Genomic DNA, 22,875 nt, shown 5'->3' on the forward strand with positions numbered 1-22,875 from the left:
TCAACTGAGCTTTCAGATTTCACAAATCAAATGTGCTCTTAGCAACATTTGGGAACCTTTCATTGTATTTGGCGTGAAATTGGGAAGAGTGGATGATAATTAGAGATGGTGTAACACACTGTTAGTGTTTAGGTCTGCGGTGGGGAAAATCACTGTAAAAATAATTCAGTTGATTTGGAGAAATATAGTGCCTCTGTTAGGCAGAAATGAGTTGGGATAAAGATTGAACTGTTATAAGCTGCAGCTGCATTTGCCATAAAATACCAAGTTGGTGCTGATGAATGTTTTGTTTTTATTGTCATGGAAACTTGGAGCTGGAGAATGGATATTCTATTCATTTGGGAAAATAGCAGTGCCTTGCATAAAACATAAGGGCCTTCCAAAGCAGTTCCTTAAATAGATATTGGCTGAATATAATCCAAAAAGTTGAGGAAGTAAAAGTGAAATAAATGCAATCATTTCTGGATCACTTCTTCCATTCTCAGTACTAACAATGTAACTATATATTCAGTTATTAAGCTTATTACTTCTAGAAAGTTTAATTCCAGTAAGCATGGTATTTGTTTAACATCAGTGTAATAGTTATCTAACCCTTTAGAGCTATCTTTATATTTATTTCCTTAGTTGTAAGATATCTTTTGGGAACTCTAAACCTATATCCTATTAAACAACTACTTCTGATCCCCAAATAGTTTGTTTTTTAAATTAATCCTGCTTATCTGCTATAATCTTTCATTGAAATATTTTAAAGCATTTTATACTTTTTTTAAAGCTTTACCCAAAATAAACTCTTACCATAAAAGCACTAAGTGAGATCTTTGCATGTTCTAGGGAAAAAAAACAGAAAGTATAAAATAAAAAACCTATAAAGGTGCAGTTAAATCCTTGTGCATATTTTATAAAATTATGAATGGAAAGAGACAGTCACAGGAACAGAAAATGCAAAGGAGTTTTGGGTTCAGTTATCACATATGTGATAATAGCAAAATACAAATATGGAAAATGATAGTAAAATGTAGATAAAGTGACAATACAAATTAAAGCAGAGTTCCTAAACTTTATAATAGGAAAAGGGGAAATTGTGAGTTATAATGGTTTTACCAAAGGTTACTGGCCAAGTTTCATTATCTCTGCAAGGGAAACTAGACTTTTTTTTTTTTTTTTTAAACAAAGTCTTGCTCTTCTGCCCAGGCTGGAGTGCAGTGGTGTGGTCATAGCTCATTTCAGCCTCCAAATCCTGGACTCAACAATCCTCTCACCTCAGCCTTCGAATAGCTGGGAGTACAGGTGCACGTCACCATGCCCTGCTAATTTTTTTTTATTATTATTTGTAGAGACACGATCGCACTATGTTGCCCAGGCTGGTGTCAAACTCCTGGGCTCAAGCCATCCTCCCACCTTGGCCTTCCAAAGTGCTGGGATTACAGGTGTGAGCCACTTTACCAGGTCGATTTTTGTTAACAGTATAATAAAAAGAAAGAAAGAAAGAAAGGCTAGAGTGGGGTTATTTTAGATAGTTTAGTCAGAGAACCCTTCTCTGAGGAAATAATATTTGAATAAATGCAAATGCACCTGTAGTCCCAGCTGTTTGAAGGCTGAACCCAGGGTTTGGAGGCTGGAATGAGCTATGATCACACCACTGCACTCCAGCCTGGGCAGCAGAGGAAGACTTTGTTTAAAAAAAAAAAAAAATTGTCTAGTTTCCCTCACAGACTTAATGCTGTGACAAAAGAACAATTCATACAGAGGGGCTAACAAGCCAAACCAGCAGCCTTCAGTGGGAGGGAACTTGGAAAGTTGGAATGTTCAAGGAAAATGACAAAATACAAGTTTACAAAAATTGTTTTTTCAAAAAATGCTCAAATGGCCAGGCACAGTGGCTCATGCCTGTATTCCCAACACTTGGGAGGCTGAGGTGGGTGGATCACTTGAGTCTAGGAGTTCGAGACCAGCCTGGGTGACGTGGCAAAAAAAAAAAAAAAAAATACAAAATTTAGCTGGGCATGGTGGTGTGCACCTGTGGTCCCAGCTACTCAGGAGGTTGAGGTGAGAGGATAGCTTGAGCCTGGAGGTAGAGGTTGCAGTGAGCCAGGACTGTGCCACTGCACTGCAGCCTGGTTAACAGAATGAGACCTCATCTCAACAACAACAGAAAGCTCAAATGTACTTACAAGCATTATAACTAACAACAACGTGACCAGTTTTCCCACGTGAGACGGGTCTAGGTGTAGTCTTAAATCTATGTTTACATTGCCAGGATATACAAATCCCTCGGAGAAAGAACAGGAGTGCTTTAAGATTTTTCAGTATAAATTTTACTGTTAGTTAGCATATAGTTTGTCAAAATATTTTAATGAAATCAGTGACTTTTTAAATTGAATATAAAAGTGTCAAAATAAATGTAAATATGACGTAGCTTGCATAGTGAGAGACAGACCTCTAAGAAGCAGTAAAATTTAATAATAGCAATTTTCACCAGTGTTTTTCATGCCCTGTGGTTATCTGTAGCATATATTTAGAGTATATGTATGTGGGCAAGGGTTGGGGCCAGGAATTAAAGACCTACACAACAAAATACATGATACTGAATTTGGAGAACTGGTCACAACATGCCAAAGAAAATAGAAGAGAACTAGGAACTGGACATTGTATTTCATAACTGAAATGATGAGAAAGAACTGGAAAATTGCCAGCCTTTTAACCTTTTAGAAATAGCTATGTGTGTAGTTAGTACAGGAGATCATTTTCTTAGAGCAGTTTGTTCTAAATTCAAATATGTCAGCAGACTTAGTGGAATTCAAAGTATTTTAGAAATAAAACATCTAATGTTGGAAATAAGAGAGCACAATATCATAAAAACAGAGGTAGTTTAACAAAGTTTTTAGATTGTCCAAGAGTTTATCAAACCCATTATCTATTATGGTAAAGTCTCGCTGAGTAGGATGTTTTTAACTTAGGCTACTCCAAAAAGTAAAGATAGTAGCAAATGTAGATCCAACTTTTCAGGTTATCTTCTACCTCATGCACTACTCTAAGCAGTCTTTGTTTGTTGGAAAGTCTGATTATTTACAGAAGTCAAGTTTTGTTATGTTCTATCTTTTTCTGATCTGTAAAAATGGGTTTGCTAGAGAAAGACTAGGAGAAAGCTTTTTTATTTTTTTCCTTTAAAGGGGGTGTGTGAAAGGGTTTCTAAGAGGTATAAAAACCTTAGGAAGTTTCATAGTGGTCCTAACTAAATCATTACTTTTCAGACATTTGACAGTAGGCACTCCATGAGAGCAGGAAAACAAGGTGAGTCCTGAAGTTACCCCCACTCTCTCACTGCCTGTAGGAAGATTCTGGGCCACAGCAAAAAGACGAGATAATCAAACGCAGCCTGGCAGTCTTTGTGAGTTGAGAAGACAAAAATCAGAATTCAGAGAAGCTATGGGACTAGGATTTATAGGGTAAAAAGGAAGGAGCAGAGAGAGAGCAAGGGAGCTCAAGATCTTTAGAGTTTGGTTCCAAGTCTTTGGCCAAGTACTGACATGTACATGCATGTATATGCATGAGAGGAAACAACTTGAGACCAGGGAAAGCTCACACAAAGCTGGGAATAATTCTTTCTCCAATGAACCAAAGTGGAAAGATCTCATAATTAACAGGGCATGTGTAGTCTTCAAAAGGGTATTGTGTTGGTGGTGCTGAATTAGACCTGGACTAAAGGGTATTCTTGACCCACTGTTAGAAATATTAAAGGCAAACCTGGAAAAGGAGCAAACTGATTCCAAGTCACTTAACTGCTTGCCAGAACAAAGTCTGACATTCTTTGAAGGAATACAGCAAAATCTAGCACCCAAAAATATAAACATTTTAAGGTCTGGCATTGACTTAAAAATTACTAGCATGAAAAGAACAAGAAAAAAATGTACCCTGTAACCCAGAGAAAAAGTAATCAGTAGAAACAAGAGTCCAGGAAATTAGAGAGATGATGTAATCAAGCAAAGATGTTAAAATGGCTTTTATAAATACGCTTGATAGCTCAAGAATGTAGAGGAAAATAATGAATAAGATGTAGGGATAATGAATGCTATGAAAAAAACGGAATTTATTCATTTACCTCTTTTCCCTCCCTCCCTCCCTGTCTCTCCCCCTCTGTCCCTTCCTTCCTTCCTTCCTTCCTTCCTTCCTTCCTTCCTTCCTTCCTTCCTTCCTTCCTTCCTTCTTCCCTTCCCCTCCCCTTTTCCTTTTCCTTTCCCCTTTCCCCTTTTTTCTCCTTTTTTGGAGGCAGGTCTCTCTCTGTTACACAGGCTAGGGTGCAGTGGAGCGATCATAGCTCACTGTAACCTTGAACTATTGGATCAAGTGATCCTCCTGCTTCACCCTCCCAAGTAGCTAGGACTGCAAGGATGCACCATGCCTGGCCAATTTTTTTTTTTTTTTTTTTTTTAGAGACAGGGTCTTACTATGTTGCCCAGGCTGGTCTTAAACTCCCAGCCTCAAGCCATTCTCCTGCCTTCGTCCCCTGAGTTGCTGGGATTATATGTGTGAGCCACCACACCCAGCCCCCTAAATGTCATTTTTAGAGAGAAGAAAAATACAGTATCTGAAATGAAAAATACACTGGATGATATTAACTGCAGCTTATTCACTTCAGAAGAAAAAAAATCAGTGAATTTGTAGGCATAGAAACAGAAACTATCCAAAATGAAGATCAGAGGACCTCCAGCTTCTATCTAGGGTGTGGAAAACTATAAAGAATGCTGCTTTTGGCCAGGCACGGTGGCTCACGCCTGTAATCTCAGCACGTTGAGAGGCCAAGGAGGACAGATCATGAGATCAAGAGATCGAGACCAGCCTGGCCAACATGGTGAAACCCTGTCTCTACTAAAAATACAAAAATTAGCTGGGTGTGGTGGCGCATGCATGTAGTCCCAGCTCCTTGGGAGGCTGAGGCAGGAGAATCGTTTGAACCCAGGAGGTGGAGGTTGCAGTGAGCCGAGATCATGCCACTGTGCCACTGCACTCCACCCTGGCGACAATGAGACTCTGTCTCAAAAAAAAAAAAAGCCTGATAAACTACAAACTTTTAACTTTTTTGAACCCTTCAAAGAGGCCCAAGCACACAGTTTCTGTAAGTACTGAGGCTGAACTAAAACAGCAGAGAACTACCTCCGTCACAAGCCTAAGGAGTACTAAGCAATAGCAGTCTGCCACTGGGGCAGGGGCAAAAGCTTGAGGACAGACCCACTCTCAAGCACAGGTTTATAGCATCTGTTATAAGCTGAGGATGAAATACTAACAGAAAAGTTTTACAGCACCCCAGCCACGTGCTAAACACTAGGCACAACAGGTGATCACTAGAGGGAGTGGAAGCCTCTGGTAAACTCAGAGTCATCACAGCAACAGTCACACCAAGCTAAACTCCTAACTGATTGTCTGAATTTCTCACTCTAAAGTCCTTATATGGAAAGAGGCATACCCACTTCCAGGCCTAAATATACTACTGTTCTACCCACAGTATCCTGCATCCATCAAAATTATAAGTCACACACATAAGCAAGAGAAAAACAAAACAAATACTTTCAAGAGGCAAAACAGTTAACAAAACAAGACTCAGAGGTGGCCCTGTTATTGGAACTATCGAGGCAAAACAGTTAACAAAACAAGGCTCAGAGGTGGCCCTGTTATTGGAACTATCAGACAAAGATTTGAAAATAGCTCTGGCTAAGATATTGAAAGGATCTAGTGGGAAACATAGCATGCATGAATTAATGGGGAATTTAGCTGATAGATGGAAATAATGAGTCAAGTTGAAATGGTAGTAATAAAAAAAAAAACAGAGGTAAATAATTCCTTTGTGGTCATCAGTAGACAACCCAGTTGCTGAAGAAATGGGTGAACTTGAATATAGGCCAGTATAAATTATCCAAACTAAAACACAAAGAGAAAAAAAATGAAAAAAGATCAGAGCTGCAGGACAGTATCAGTCTAATATGTGTATGCTTAAAGTTTCAGAATGAGAGGGATAAATAATAATGCAGAAGAAATATTTGAAGAGATAATGGCCAAGAATTTCCCAAAAGCAATGAAAGACATCAAACCATAGATGCAAGACTTAAGAAACAACAAGAACTCCCCTCCACACACACACACACACCACACATATTCCCTTAGACATATTTAAAGTGCTGAAAACCAAAGATGAGAAAATCTTGAAGACAACCAGAGGCAGAAAAAAAAACACATCATGTATAGAACAACAAAGATAAACTACAGCAGACTTCTCTTCAGAAACTTTGCAGGCAAGATGATAGTGATATCTCTAATGTATTACAATTTTTAAAACTGTGTCAACCCGGAATTATTTATCTGTTGAAAATATTTTCTTAAAAAAGAGGATAAAGACTTCTAGATATATGAAAATCTGAGAAAATCCATTCCCAGCAGACTACAATAACTGCTGGAGTAAGTTCTTCAAGCAGGGGGAATGTCACTCCAGACAGAAACTTGGATCTGCACCAAGACTCCGCAAACTTTTTTCATAGAGAGCCAGATATTACATATTTTAGGCTTTGTGGGTCAGACAGTTTCTGTCACAACTACTCAACTCTGCCATTGTAGCACAAAAGCAACTATGAACAGTACATAAACAAGTGAGCATGGCTGTTTTCCAGTAAAACTTTATTTACAAAAACAGGAAGCAGGCCATGAGTCATAGTGTGCCAACCCATGATCTATACAAAGAAATGAGAGCTCCAGAAATGGTAATAATGAAAGTAAATATAAAAGACATACGTTTCATCCTTTTAAATTACACTGTGAAATAACTGTCTAAAGCAAAATTAGTACATTATATTGTCGGTTTTATAAAATATGTAACAGTAATCTAAAAGATGGGAGGAAGGATTTAACATCTGTTAAAGATGTATATTGTAAACTGAGGGCAATCGCTAAGAAATTAAAAAGAAATGTAACTTATCTACCAATAGTGGCTATTAAATGGAATGCTCAATCTAAAAGCAGGCTGAGAGCTGGGCATAGTGGCTCATACCTGTAATCCCAACACTTGGGGAGGTGGGAGGATTGCTTGAGGGCAGGAGTTCCAGACCAGCTGGGGCAACATAGCAAGACTCTGTCTCTCCAAAAAAAAAACCAGGTATAGTCTTAGCTACTTGGGCAGCTGACATGGGAGGATCTCAGCCCAAGAGTTCAAGGTTGCAGTGAGCTGTGATCACGCCATTGCATTCCACCCTGGGTGACAGAAGAAGACCCTGTGTCTTTAAAAAAAAAAAAAGAAAAGAAAAAAGAAGTTTGAGAAAGATAAAAGAACAAACAACAAATGAGATAAATAGTAGACGTGTAAGAAAATGGCAGACTTAAATCCAGCCATATCAGTAATATAATGCAAATTTTCAAAATGAAACAGAGATACCAAGAGATAGAGGAAGCAAGCATTTGGCTTTTTTCATTCTCTGTTTTCCAGTGGTTTTTGCACATAATTTTAAGAATAGGGTCTTCGCTAGATGAAAACATTTAAATAGTGAACTACTTAACATCTGTTTACACACTGCTAACCCTGGCGCTCCTTTTTACTGAATAAAAATGGTTTGCCCTTCTTTCCCCCGTGAGCTTCAAACAACAACCAAGCTATCTTGGTTGTTACTAAAGTTACTAAACTTGGGACCATCAGACCCAAGGTGCTCCCCTAAAACCACTTTGCCCAAACCTTAGGGAACAAGGAATAGGCAGGCTAAAGATTATATTCAAACATATCTACCCTTTTTCCTCTATGTTACAAAATCTAAAACTCTGTTGAAATTCATTTTAGACTGTTCTTTTATGTTTCGACTTCTCAGCTCTCTCTACCACCTTTTCTGGATCTTGCATACTTTCTTTGGTGAATCTTTGTTTTTTTCAGTTGTGAACAGATTATGGCTATGTATACAAAGAGATCCAGTTACCCATTCATTAATGCTAAGAAGAGTGACGCCGTTAAATTTTAATGAAATGAAAGGCATAAAGAATTTTAAAACCTCTGAAAGTATCCAAAAGTTTCCTTTAAATTCTTTGCCTAGAATCTAATTTTTTTCTCTTCTAATTAAGACTTTGTCCTTAAGCATGAATATTTAAGATATATATAGTCAATATAGTATTGTATAATATAGTCAAATGTATTTTCTAGTCAGTACATTTCAGTTCAAAAATAATAACTAAAATTTAATTACCCCTTGTTTGTCACTGTTCCACGCACTTAAGATGTTAATACATTTTATCCTCACAAAAAACCCAGTGAGGTAGAACTATTTTTATCCTTGTTTCACAGATGAGGCAACTAAGGGACAGAGCTGTTAGATAATAAGCAACAAAGTGGGAATTTAAACCTGGTTAGTCTACATCTAGAGTCTTCGTTCATTACCATTACCCCATGCCTTCTCTCTAATTTACTGTTACAGAATGTTGGGATTTTTTTCTTTTCTTCCTTCCTTCATTTTTTCCTTCCATCCTTCATTCCTCATTCCTCCATTCAGCAAATATTCTATTCTGACACACTGTGACCTGAATTTACTTGTGTATCCAGTTATAATGAGTTAATATGTAAGATTTTTATTTTGAGTTATGCCTTACTCACAAATCAACTTTGGATTATGACCCATCAAGAAGTTGAGACTGGCCTTTACCTATTTTCAAACTCAAACATAGGATGGCAGTAAATTGCAATACTGGAGACAGCTCAATGAAAATTGAACATGTCATATTTTGTCCTCATGTAGCAAGAACCATATTTAAGTCTTAGCAGGCCAGGCATGGTGGCTCACCCCTGTAATCCCATCACTTTGAGAGACTGAGGTGGGAGGCTGACTTGAGGCCAGGAGTTCAAGACCAGCCTGGGCAACATAAGAGACCCCCATCTCTACAAAAATGTTGTAAAATTAACCTATGTGGGTGTGTGTGCCTGTAGTCCTAGCTACTTGGAAGGCTGAAGCAGGAGGATTGAACCCAAGAGTTCAAGGCTATCGAGCGCCACTGCATTCCAGCCTGGACAACAGATCAAGACCCTGTCATTCATAAATAAATGAGAACATAAAACACATGCATACAGTCTTAGTAGAACCTAAATGGGATTTAAGGCTCTCTTCTGGGCTTTCTCCATGTGTTTCAACAAAATGAAATAGTTACCATTTGATGGCTATTTATGTATTTTCTTTATACACAAAGTGTACAAAATGTGCTTCATTTCTATATTACATAGGTAGAGGCTGTTGAGTCTCAGTAAAAAATTTCATTGACATTTTGTTTTTCTTAATCTGAATAGGATTAAGTCTTGGTAATTTTAAATATACTGACTTCAGTTTGCTGTATTCAGCAAATATATTCACAGCTAAATGTCTCAAAATGTATTAAACAAGTGTTTACACTTTGGTTTTATAACTGTACATCATCTTTATTACAAAAATCCCTATATTTTTAGCAGCTTATCCTTTTTACTATGTGCAGTGTCCAAATTAATGTTCCACCAGAAGGGTATGTCTTATTAATAGCGAAGAGTTGATGAGCATATCAATTTCATGGGACATTAAAAGAAATCATTTAATCCACACTTGCCCCACCTCACTCTATTTTTTAGGTAAAAAAAACTGAGGTCTAGAGAGGTTTAATGACTTATGTATCTCACATAGCTAGTTCACATCAGAGACAGAAATAGATCCTCTTGACTCTTATTTCCATGTTTGTTTCATTCCGTTGGCCTGTTTATGACCAAATAGTTGATGAATGGTAGCAGTTCCATTGACTAGTTTCTTTCCTTCTCTTCCAGTTCTTGCTGTCAGGGGAACTGGCTAATTAACAATCATTTATTATACACTATTTTAGAGCACAGTTCTCTTAAGCTGTCTCTCTGCCTTCATATGGCTTTATGCCATAGATGGAGGCTTGGAGTAGAATCTGTCCCTGGCACGCAAACAACACAAGTCTGGAATTCCAGACCAGTGTTCTCTGAACAAGTGGCATCTGCCTTCTGGTCCCTGGGTGCCATAAAAAACAGAGTTAAACACTGACCTTGCCTGGTAAGGTCATGGTCTAAATTAAATAGTCAAAATACAAAAAAGATGTGAGGTAATAATGGGATTTAGCAACAGTGAGCCTAATGTTCTGCTTATCATTGTATAATGCAAGAAATTTCTTAGACGAGCATTGATACAAGGATTTGGTGGAAACAGAGTCAGTGTGTCAGAAGGAGTAAATTATTTAAGAGTGTGAATACTGAGATACATTAATGTCAGGAAGGAAATGAGATGCCAAAAGTAGATGTATTTGATAATTTGTTCCCTCTATCTTCCCCCAAATTATTTGGTGATGTGATTGTTACTTGACTTTCTTTTTCTTTGTTTTGGAGTAAGTGGAGTAAATAGGGTTAAGGCATTGAATGATTATCTCAGTTTATGTAGTCCTTAGAAAGTTGTAAACCATTAAATTATTTTAAATCGTTTTTTAAGAATGAGATAAACATTAAGACACCAAGGTGACTTGATTATTTTTAAAGAGTACACATTCATGATGGGTTTTTTTTTTTCCTGAAAAACAGCTCCCCTAGTTCTGTAATCTTTTGACTTGCTGTAAAAAATGAAAATGTCTTTATTTCTAAATTCTAAACAACATGTGGTTGGGGAAATGTGGTGACATTAAGAAAAATACTCATATTCTGAACTTTAGGCAAAGCAACAGTGCAATACAGATGTAAATTATGTTATCAAGGACAATTTAGAATATACAACTGTTAAGAAAAGTGATTCCAAAGTGGAAATTAGATTTTGAGCTACCTTTAATTATAGTTTACTTCTTTTTTTTTTTTTTTTCCTTTTTTGAGTCGGAGTCTTGCTATGTCACCACCCAGGCTGGAGTACAATGGCTCGATCTAGGCTCACTGCAACCTCCACCTTCTGGGTTCAAGAGAGTCTCCTGCCTCAGCCTCCCGAGTAGCTGGGACCACAGTTGTGCACCACTACACCGAGCTAATTTTTGTATTTTTAGTAGAGATGGGGTTTCACTATGTTGGCTAGGCTGGTCTTGAACTCCTGACCTCAGGTGATCCGCCCACTTTAGACTCCCAAAGTGCTGGGATTACAGGCATTAGCCACCGTGCCAGGCCCAGAATGTTCTGGTCAGTGACTGAAATTGATCAAAATGTATTTATGTAATTCTTCCCCGTTCATTCATTTAGAATTTTTTACTACCCACCCACCTCACCCTCTCAAATTGAATTGTGCATTTTAATGTTCTCTTCTGGCCATTCTAATGATGGAAATGTAAACTGTTTTCTATAAACCTTCTCATCCTCACCTATTTATATTTAATTTGCAAATCTGATGTTAAGGGGAGAGAAGTGGAGAGCATGAGGAAGGGTAGTTGAGTTGGTGAATGTTTTGCATCCTAGAATACTTCATCACAGATGTTAAAGTCTCAGAAAGTCGTTTCTTTTTTTTTTTTTTCTTTGAGACAGTATCTCACTCTGTTGCTTAGGCTGGAATTCAGTGGACTCACTGCAGCCTCGACTTCCTGGGCTCAGGTGATTCTCCCATCTCAGCCCCCCTGGTAGCTGGGACTACAGGTGTGTACCACCATGCCCAGATGATTTTTTGTATTTTTTGTAGAGTTGGGTTTTTGCCATGTTGCCCAGGCTGGTCTCGAACTCCTGGGCTCAAGTGATCCACAGCCTCAGCCTCTCAAAGTGCTGGGATTACAGATATGAGCCAGTGCACCCAGCCTAGAAAGTCATTTATAAAGCCTATTCAAATTGCCCAGGTCTGACTGTGTGCTTTTATCAGGGTAATAGGATGCTCCATTGGCATTTTAGCACTTCTGCCAGAATTATTGATTGGGAAGCTGCTTACAGTTCTGATGCACATCACAGGAAGCTGGTGCAAAATTAAGATGGCATATGTGATGAGATAAAGGCTGGGTTAGAAAAGTGATTACAACTGGGAACTTGCTAATCACTGACCTCTATAGGGATCCTGTGGTTTATCACTAATCTCACTCACACTTGGCATTTTCCTATGCTGCTGCCTCATCATTCATAGCTGTGTGAGTAATTTGGCATGGAGTGAACAAGAGGAGGGCATAGAGAGTCCAGCAGCTGTGCCTGTTGGCACTAGATATTTAAGCATCTTCACTGTAGCCAGCAGTGTGGTTGGCACAAATGTTAGCCAATAATGCTTAAACAAATTGTTGTGAAGAAAATAGGCAAGCATTTATTTAAAAATCCCCTTTCTCTTTTCTTTAAAAACAAAAAATCTGGTCAATTAAGATCCTTTTTAGATTCTTTTTCTGTACATTTGAGCAGATTACTACCAAAATAAAGTCTATAATTCTGACAGTATCTTCTAGACAAGAATTTCTGAATAGTTTATTAATTAAACTGTGCAGGGTCTGTGTGAGGTACATGTTATTTGGTTGATTTTCCTAAAAGAGTGAGTGGGGTCATTGATGTTAAGCGACATGTTACTTTCCTAGTTGACTCAATGAGAGCGAAGCAAGAGCTAAGAGACGAATCCAGTAATCAGAATTCCCAGGTCTTTGCTCTCATACTCTATGGCATTGCAGGTTTGCCCACTTTGTAAGTTAGCATTTTGTGTTTCTCCAGATGGTTAGTATGATTCAAATTGTATGATATTTTAATAGGATTTGCCCACAAAAGAGGAGCAGGTTCTCCACGAGCAAAAAGGTTAGGTAAATAATGAGTTTTCAAAGACACTCAAGGGGGAGGAGGATAGTCTGCTCATAAAACTGTCATCAGATTTAGATTTGTGCACAAATATTTAGATTTGCCTATGTAAGGATTTCATATTGTTTCTCTGAAAAGTAAATATGGAAAAGCTCACATGACTTACACACTGAAATATTTCATTTTGAACATAGTAATGTTGATCTCATTAACTTTTTTGAAACATCCAGGAATTGTTTCTAGGTTAAGCTTTTAGCTTTTAAGAAAAACCAGTCTAATACTTAAATTATAACACATGGAGTTTTTCTGTGTAAAATATGCTGAATTCAAATTTATGAATGCAAATCAGAATGTCTTACAAAAATGAACAGAAATAATGTTGGCTTCCATACAAATAGAGAAGCTATTCTATTTTGTACTGTTGTGAAGGCAACAATTGTTTCTTGAATAGTATCTATTCATTGAAACTAATAAACTTGTCTGGAAATTTTTAGGTATTTACTGGACTGCTGCAGAAAGAAATGCTGAGCAGGCTTTATATGCCATAATATCATTATCTCTGTCTGTTTCCTCATCAATACATTATTTTCTATTGATAACAACAGAGCACACACCATGAGAGTATTGTAGAATTGCTTTGGTCTAAATTTGGGTGTTGAAGGCAGAGTGAAACTGAACACCATTCTCCAAGTGTGGATTGTGGCTAATCTGCTCTGAGGTTGCTAATGAAGACATACCTGGGACTGGGTAATTTTTAAAGGAAAGAGGTTTAATTGACTCACAGTTCAGCATGGCTGGAGAGGCCTCAGGAAACTTAAATCATGGTGGAAGGAGAAGCAAACACATCCTTCTTCACGTGGTGGCAGCATGGAAAAGTGCAGAGCAAAGGGGGGAAAAGTCCCTTATAAAACCATCAGATCTCATGAGAACTCACCATCATAAGGACAGCATGGAGGTAACCACCCCCATGGTTCGATTACCTCCCACCAGGTCCCTCCCACGACGTGGGGATTATGGAAACTACAGTTCTAGATGAGATTTGGGTGGGCACACAAACCATATCAGGCACCTTCTAACCTTTGCGGTATTTTTAGTAAATATATATTATCAAATACTAGATTTCTGTCACTAAAAAGAGCTAAATGTCTAACAAATGTAGCAGTACTTCTAAAACTTGGTCATCCAGTAGGCTATAAGCTTTTTCATTGTTTGGCACCTATTGAGGGTAGAGCTTGTGGGGGTTTTTTTGTTTGTGTTTTGTTTTTTGTTTTTTGAGGCAGGGTCTCACTCTGTCTCCTAGGCTGAAATGCAGTGGCATGATCATAGCTCACTGCGGCCTCAAACTCCCAGGTTCAAGCAGTCCTCCCACCTCAGTCTCCTGTGACTACAGGTATGCACCACCATGCCCAGCTAAGTTTTTTTTTTTATTTTTTATAAAGGTCAGTTCTCACTATGTTGCCCAGGCTGGTCTTGAACTCCTGAGCTCTAGCAGTCCTCCCACCTCAGCCTCCCTAAGTGCTGGGATTACAGGCATGAGCCACAGCACCCGGCCAGAAGCTTGTGTCTTACTCATCTCCTAACCTCTTCATCTGTCAGTGACTAGCCCATAAATGTTTGATGGAATGTATGGATCTTAGATTCTTCTGTCCAGTCAATGTTTGGATATTTGTAATTGAGATGGGGAGAAATGGGAATGTAGAACTGTGCCTGTCCACTCCCACCTTCACTGTGACTGCCGATTGTATCTTATGTCAAAAGAATAGCATTAGTTTGTATTTCTGTAAGCATTGAAAGGTTATAACTTAAGTATATTAGTGGTAGAGAGCAAGATAACTTTTTTTTAAGTCTGAGAATATTTGTTAGGGTAACTAATGCCTCTAAGAGTTTATGAGTCTGGAGAAAATAATTTCTTGAACTTCAGTCATTTGCTGTTTCTTGAATAAATGTTTTAAATACTGTATAAATTAGTCAGAATTATCTGTCATTTCTTGAGCAATTTTTAGTTTAGGTCAGAAAATGCTGAATGTAGTTAATGTAAACCATGTAAGTTTAGCTACTTAAAATACCTTTGCACACAAGTTATGTGTCTGATGGTTTAATATACATATATATGTCTTATTCTTGTATATTTTCCAATAATATGTTGCTATTCTACTAGAGTTGGGTTTCTTAACCTGGAGTCCAGAGAATCCCAGGACAGAAGGAAAATCAGTGAACTTGAATGGGAAAAAATTGTCATCTTTATTTTTACCAATCTCTAAGTGAAATTTAGCATGGCCTTCCATTTTGAATACGGATAACAAAATAATCCAGACAGTACCTACAGTTTTTGTCACAGTAGAACAATAGATATTTTCATATCATAATTGTTGCAGATATCTTAAGCTATTATTTATGCTTTCAAATTATTATTAGTCCTGCTGCTAAATCTTATTAATGTGTTAATAAATTACAGGAAATGTGAGGTTTTTAAAAGAACATTTTGATGATTACGTGTCATTGTACATTAAAATACTTACATTTTGTTTTGTACATTTATAATCGTGATTCTGAGAAGTCCGCCCAAGAGGCCCATGCACATGTGCACACACCGATACCTATACACACTCACACCCCCGCAACACAAGAGTGTAGTAAAAACCCTGTATTAGACTATCCCAGAGAATTCTTTGTAATAATTTTTTCATAGGTGCTTCAAGGAAAATTAGATATATGTTACATTACTAGTAGTTCTTAAACTGTTTTCAGCTGAAGTTGACTGGTTAAAATTGTCTATACTTCATTTATGTATATTTATGTTAAAAAAAAAAAAGGTTGGTAGAAACCCTTAATACAGTAGCCAGAGATTTTTGTTGTCAGATGCCTGAGATAAAAGAAAGATAATGTATATGATTAATTTTAATTCATGAAAATAGTTCTTGTGAAAAGTAATTTTGAAAGAATTAAAAATGAATGCCTCCTAAGTCTTAGACTGAGTATGCATTATTTTATTTCAAGGATACTCAAACTTATAAGTCCTTAAGAAAATAACTAGTTTCTAATAAATGAAAGGTGAAATAAAAATGTATTTACAGTTCAAAATCTTATTTGAATAGATTAAGTATCATTTTGAAAATAAGCTATCAACTTTCATTTCAGAAGAAACTTTTACTTTGTAACATCTTCAGCTTATGTTAAATTAGTTTTCATTCTCTTTGAATTCAATGTCCTTTATGAAAGGATAAGGAATTTTAATAAGCACAGGAAAGTAAGTTTAAAACTTTAGGTTTTTTAAAATGATCTATCATATGGGTAGCCTCGACACAGATAATTAAGATTGTATTTAAAAGCTGTACATTATTAAAAACAGAGCTAATATTCACCTTTAACCTTGTTCCTTTTTCCACTTCAACTTTTTTTTTTTAAAGAGTTCTTACTAGGACATTTGATTCAAAATACAATACAGTATTAACTTGTGATGGAGTGTGGTGGCTCACGCCTGTAATCCCAGCACTTTGAGAGGCCGAGGTGGGCAGATCACGAGGTCAGGAGTTCGAGACCAGCCTGGCCAACATAGTGAAACCCTATCTCGACTGAAAACACAAAAATTTGCCGGGTGTGGTGGCACGCCCCTGTAGTCCCAGCTACTTGGGAGGCTGAGGCAGGAGAATCACTCCAACCCAGGAGGTGGAGGTTGCAGTGAGCCGAGACCATGCCATTGCACTCCAGCCTGGGTGACAGAGTGAGACTCAGTCTCAAAAAAAATAAAAAATAAAAAATGTAGTTCACTAATTAAAAAAACTCTACAGGTGAATAGGATGTTCAAAATTGTTTATTGATATGATACATAATTATTTTTAAAAACCTTAGAAATAGACTAGTATCATTTTCATTAAAGTATACATGTCATGCTGACTAATTGACGTAGAAGTTTTACAACTCTAAATCTGACATCTGTTAACCCTTTAGATATGCAAAATAATCCTTGAAATAATAATGCTAGGCCACCGTGGTAGCTCATACCTGTAACGTCAACACTTTGGAAGGCTGAGGTAGGAGGGTTGCTTGAGCCCAGGAGTTTGAGACCAGCCTAGGCCATACTATGAGACCCTGTCTCTACTGAAACTGAAATTTTAGAAAATTAGGCGTGTTGGCAAACACCTATGGTTCCAGCTACTTGGGAGGCTGAGGTGGGAGGATTGCTTGAGCCCAGAAGTTGGAGGCTGCAGTGAGCTGTAATTATGTAACTGTGCTCTAGCCTGTACGACAGAGCGAGACCTTGTCTCAAAATAAATAAATGAATTAATTCAATAAAACTAGTTACTACAAAATAAAACCATTAAAGGATTGTACACTTGCAATTCTGACATACACAGCCTTCCCTGCATGTAATCAAAATGGATCAGAAATCTTCTTGGAACAAGAAGATGGCAGAGACTGAAGGGAACTGCCAACTTAGAATGACTGGCATAGAAGGAATTACTGAAACTCAGGGAAGGTAATTGTGTTCTTCTTTGGCAGGTCCGGTTTCTAAATAGATAGGGAATTTCAGAGAACAACTTCATTCTGTGCTTTGCAAAAAACAGAAGATTGTGGGGAGGGGTCTGGTGGAGAGGGCATGACTTAGAGAGACCTTGAGGCTGCTGCTTCAATCCAGCATGTCAAAGCACCATGTTTGGGGGCCTTAGTTACTGAGCCTCAAAAATACCACATTTGCAAATTCATTTAGTATATTGAATACAAATGAGTGAGTACCCTACTGTTAATTGTTAACGCTGTGAGACTTAACCTCCATTCTCCCTCAAGAACTGGCCCATACTATTACTGATACTTGGCCATGAAAGTTTTGAACTGTGGGTGTATTAGTTCGTTCTCACGCTGCTAATAAAGACATAACCCAAGACTGTGTAATTTATAAAGGAAAGAGGTTTAATTGACTCACAGTTCAACATGGCTGGGGAGACCTCAGGAAACTTACAGTCATGGCAGAAGGGGAAGCAAAAGTGTCCTCCTTCACATGGCAGCAGCAAGGAGAAGTACCGAGCAAAAGGGGAAAAACCCCTTATAAAATCATCAGATCTTGTGAGAACTCACTATCATAAGAACAGCAGCATGGGGGTAACCGCCTCCATGATTCAGTTACCTCCCACCAGGTCCCTCCCACGACATGTCGGGATTATGGGATCTACAATTCAGGGTGAGATTTGGGTGAGGACACAGCCAAACCGTATCAGTGGGTATAGTCACAATAAGAATTTTTTTTTCTTTTTTGTTTTTTGTTTTGAGACGAGTCTCACCCTGTCACCCAGGCTGGAGTACAATGGCACGATCTTGGCTGACCACAACCTCTGCCTCCTGGGTTCAAATGATTCTCTTGCCTCAGCTTCTCGAGTAGCTGGGCTAACAGGCGTGTGCCACCACACTTGGCTAATTTTTGTATTTATAGTAGAGATGAGGTTTCACCATTTTGGCCACGCTGGTCTTGAACTCCTGACCTCAGGTTATCCGCCCGCCTCGGCCTCCCAAAGTGCTGGGATTGCAGGCGTGAGCCACTGCCCCCCACCACAGCAAGAATTCTTACATGTTGCTGGGAAGAATATAAATGGGCGTGGTGACTTCTGAGAATAATAAGGCAATCAATGCCTATAAAGCTGAAAGTTCGCATCCTTTAATCTACCAGTTTCCCTTCTTTGTGTCTATCCTGAAGGAATGTATGTCTGTGTGTGTGTGTGTGTGTGTGTGTGTGTGCGTACACGAGATGTGCAAGGATATTTGTTTCAATATTGCTCATGACAAAAAAATATAAAAACTATCTTTCCGTAGGGAAATATATAAACTGGTTTTATTTGTATAATGGAATATTGTATAGCAGTAAAGATGCTCAAACTAGGGATCTGTTATCAACACACAGCTCAAAAACATAATATATGGAAATACAGGTTTCAAGATAAAAACCATGTAATTCCATCTGTTTAAATATATTAAATGCAAACAGTAATGTATATTGTTCGAGAACATGAATATATATTTAAGAGTATAAAACATACATGGTAATCATGCACATCATTATTATGATAATGGTTATCCAGAGGTGTGGTTTGAGCTATGTCTATACTGTATTAATTTTTTTTTTTTTTTGAGGCGGAGTCTTGTTCTGTCACCCAGGCTAGAGTGCAGTGTTGTGATCTTGGCTCACTGCAACCTCCGCCTCCTGGGTTCAAGTGATTCTCCTGCCTCAGCCTCCTGAGTAGCTGGGACTACAGGCGCATACCACCATGCCTGGCTAATTTTTTGTATTTTTAGTAGAGACAGGGTTTCACCTTGTTAGCCAGGATTGTCTTGATCTCCTTACCTCGTGATCCGCCCGCCTTCGCCTCCCAAAGTGCTGGGATTACAGGCGTGAGCCACTGTGCCTGGCCCAATACTGTATTAATTTTTGAGAGAGAAAGAAGAGAAGAAGGTTCAGTCTGAAGCAAACATGGGAAAACATTCTAACTAGTGGGTACATGTATCATATTGTTGGCTATATAAATGTCTTTCATTCTTTTAAATGTGTTTTAAAATACTATACGTTGAAAATAAAGTATTTACATGCTACTTTATATAGCTCAAGTGATCCTCCCACCTCAGCCTCCTGAGTAGCTGGGAATACAGGCATATATCACCATGCTAATTTTTTATTTTTTGTAGAGAGGCTTCACTATTGCCCACGCTAGTCTTGAGCTACTGGACTAAAGCAGTCCTCCCACCTCAGCCTCCCAAAGTGCTGAGATTACAGACGTGAGTCACTACATCCTGCCCAGAATTTGACTCAGACTGACTGAAGTGATAGCAAGTTTTACAAATTATTGAATTGTATCCTCTTATTTCTAATTTGTTCTTTCTATTTTAAAACTGCAATATAATTACCATGAATAGTCTAGCAGTTTGATTGTCTGTCAATAAATGAAGGGTTTTATATAAAGTTAATTTCTTTGTTTTATAGGAAAAACATCAGAGAGAGGCTCATTTTCCCTGTACAGCAGAGATACTGGATTACCAGGCTGTCAAGTAAGTTTAATGATTAAAAAAAGCAATGAGATGGTTTTTAAACACATAAATAAAGGCTCTATTAATAGATGAGATAGAAATTATCCAATTTATTTCACTACTGTTTGTTTAATTTGTAACTAAGTGTTGTTTTTTGCTCTCTTTGCTTAAAATTGTTTCAGTTCCCCAGTTTACCAGGCTGTCTTTATCATCAAAGATTTTCATAACCCACCTCCATTTTAACTGGAAACAAAGCTACCGCTTTCCAAAATGCTTGTCATTTCTGAGAAATTTTTTTGCATATTTTCTCACAGAAAACGTAATTGGTGGTACATAAAGAATATATGATTGATCTGCATAGCTTAAATATCCTGTAATGTCAAACTGATCATTAATATTGGAAGTATTTTGTTTTCAATCCTGCATGTAACCAATTTTTAGGCTTCACACCCTCCCTGACTTGGAATCTTTGTTTCGACTCTCCCACCTTCTCTAGCATTTTGTGCTTCTGCTAATGGGCATCTTTTCTGCCTTTTTCCTCATATCTTTAGACTGAGAATCCTGAACACACAATTCACCTGCAGATTCCCATCAGAATCAAGCCAAAAAGAATAGAAAGGAAAGGCAGAACATATTAAATTTGTTTTCTGCCATCTGCATGCTCTACATGAGGGCCCACCCTAATTTCAGGCATGGGCATGTGAGCCGGTTTTAACTGCCATGCTAATAATACTCCATTTAATACATATTTCATAATTGTGCCTCTAAGAGAGTTTTACATAACATCCTGTTTTGTGATATGCCTTCCCATTATAAAATAATGTATTGTAGTAGGCTGGCCACGGTGGCTCACGCCTGTAATCCCAATACTTTGGGAGACTGAGGTAGGAGAATCACTTGAGCTCAAGAGTTTGAGACCAACCTGGGCAACATAGTGAGACCTTGTCTCTACTTAAAATGTAAAAATCAGCCAGGTGTAGTGGTGCATGCCTGTAGTCTCAGCTGCTTGGGAGGCTGAAGCAGGAGGATCACTTGAGCCCAGGAGTTGAAGGCTGCAGTGACCCATGATTGCACCACTGCTCTCCAACCAGGGTGACAGTAAGACTCTGTCTCAAAAAGAGAGAGAGAGAAAGGAGGGAAGGAGGGAAGAGAAGGAAGGGAGAAGGAAAGGAAGAAAGAGAGAGAGAAAATAAATATATTGTAAAAATTCAGGATCATATATTCCCATGTCCTTAATGGCAAATAGGCATGGTCTGAATAAGTGATTTGTTAAATATCATAGATTTGGGGGTAGTTACTGGACCAACACTCAGATTTCTTGGCTTCAGACCAAGCAGTCTTACTCTATTTTCATCCAAGTGATTTTTTAAAGTTTTAGTGTTGTTAATGATTGCTCTATTTTCCGTTTATGGTTAGCTTTATTTTATTCTAGTCATTTAAAATATATATAGATTAGCATTGTGTCATAGCCAGTGTTTTGCCTTACCAGCTCTTACTAGCTGACAAGAGCCGAATCTGTTAAACTTTTAGGAATTTAGCAAGTATGGTTGACATCACACTGATATCTTAAAATTGGCTATTATGAGCTGGGCACTGTGGTTTATACTTGTAGTCCCAGCTACTTGGAAAGCCAAAGCAGAAGGATCACTTCAGCTCAGTAGTACAAGTCCAGCCTGGGCAATGTAGCCAGATTGCATCTCTAAAAAAAAATAAATAAAAACAAGCAAAACAATGGCCATCAAGGAAGTATTTACACTGCACTGTGGAAATTCAAAAATGTTACAATTCAGGGCTTCCATTTTTTTAAACAGTTGTTAAACATTTACCAGCATACCGCTCATGCCTAGTTAAAAATTGCAGAGAACCACAGAATATAAGTGCTTATTCAGATCACAGTAAAAAATAGAAAAGCAGCAATTGAACATCTAGCCCCCATTAAGGTATCTTTCTGACCTTTTTCAAAGGTAACAGTGCTTTAAGGCCAACCAAGATACACAATTTATTCTGTATAGTTTTAGCAATATCCATTGATGAAAACCAAAATATCCTCTTTTTTGGTCCATATCAAATGTGGATTGGTGATTGTAATATTTCTGCAATTCATAGTTGATATCAGAACTCATTCTTTTTTATGATACAAGTTACTGTTTGAATTTCATAGTCTGAATTTTAGTTCATAAATGACTTGGATTGGAGGCCGTGGATCTAATTTCTGATCTTGGCTATAGTACTCATTTTGAGAGTTTTGTAGGCCACCTAACCATCATTCTTCTGAATCTCTTCAGAGTACAACAAAATTTGAAAAACTAAGTTGTGGCCAGGCGCGGTGGCTCACACCTGTAATCCCAGCACTTTGGGAGGAGGCCAAGGCGGGCGGATTGCCTGAGGTCAGGAGTTTGAGACCAGCCTGGCCAGCATGGTGAAACCCCATCTCTACTAAGCATACAAAAATTAGCCGGGCGTGGTGGCAGGCTCCTGTAATCCCAGCTACTTGGGAAGCTGAGGCAGGAGAATCGCTGGAACCCGGGAGGCAGAGGTTGCAGTGAGCTGAGATTGCACCATTGCACTCCAATCTGGGCAACAGAGGGAGATTCTGTCTCAAAAATAAATAAATAAATAAATAACCAAACTAAGTTACATCATTTGGACAATGAATGATTGATAAAAGTAACTACAAAGAATCCTGTAGGTTTAAGCTTCTAAGCTGTGCAAACTGCCTCTGTGACATATCATTAAGCTAACTTGTCTGCCACCCTGCTTCAGGGCCTTAAAAGTCTTTTCGTCTTCATCTTAAATCTAAGATAGCAGCTTAGTTAGGCAGTATTGAATCTTACATGTATTCTCATAAGAATACCTCATAACCATAACAAATTTGTTTAATTATCAGATATATGAAAGTGCTTTTCTCAGTTCCTAATCATACAGTAGAAGGTCAGTAAATGTCAGTTGAGGGGGGTAAGACAGAGGTTTAGAGTGAAGAGACCTAGGTTCAAGTCCCATCTCTGCACTGATTTCTATCTGAAAGATAGGATTAGCCATTTCTGCTTCTGCCTACTTAGTAGATCTCTGAAGGTTAAACTGTATGGGCTTATGAAAACATTTCAAAAAATAAATAAATAATTTTAAAGTTCTCAATTCATGTAATCCACATAACAAAAGATATT

At 38.0% G+C, this 22,875-nt stretch overlaps 1 protein-coding gene across 24 annotated transcripts in view; it reads left to right on the top strand.

Annotated features, from left to right (window-relative positions):
- Positions 1–22,875, top strand: part of TCF12 (transcription factor 12) — a 373,221-nt gene that overhangs the window by 228,645 nt on the left and 121,701 nt on the right. For all 24 annotated transcript variants that reach the window (NM_001322151.2, XM_011521960.4, XM_047432971.1 and 21 more), the window contains one exon: positions 19,668–19,732. In NM_001322151.2, the coding sequence (NP_001309080.1) occupies positions 19,668–19,732 (65 nt within the window). The remainder of the gene's footprint in view (positions 1–19,667; positions 19,733–22,875) is intronic.

This window comes from Homo sapiens, chromosome 15 (genome assembly GCF_000001405.40).
Source record: "Homo sapiens chromosome 15, GRCh38.p14 Primary Assembly".
Classification (NCBI taxonomy): Eukaryota; Metazoa; Chordata; class Mammalia; order Primates; family Hominidae; genus Homo; species Homo sapiens.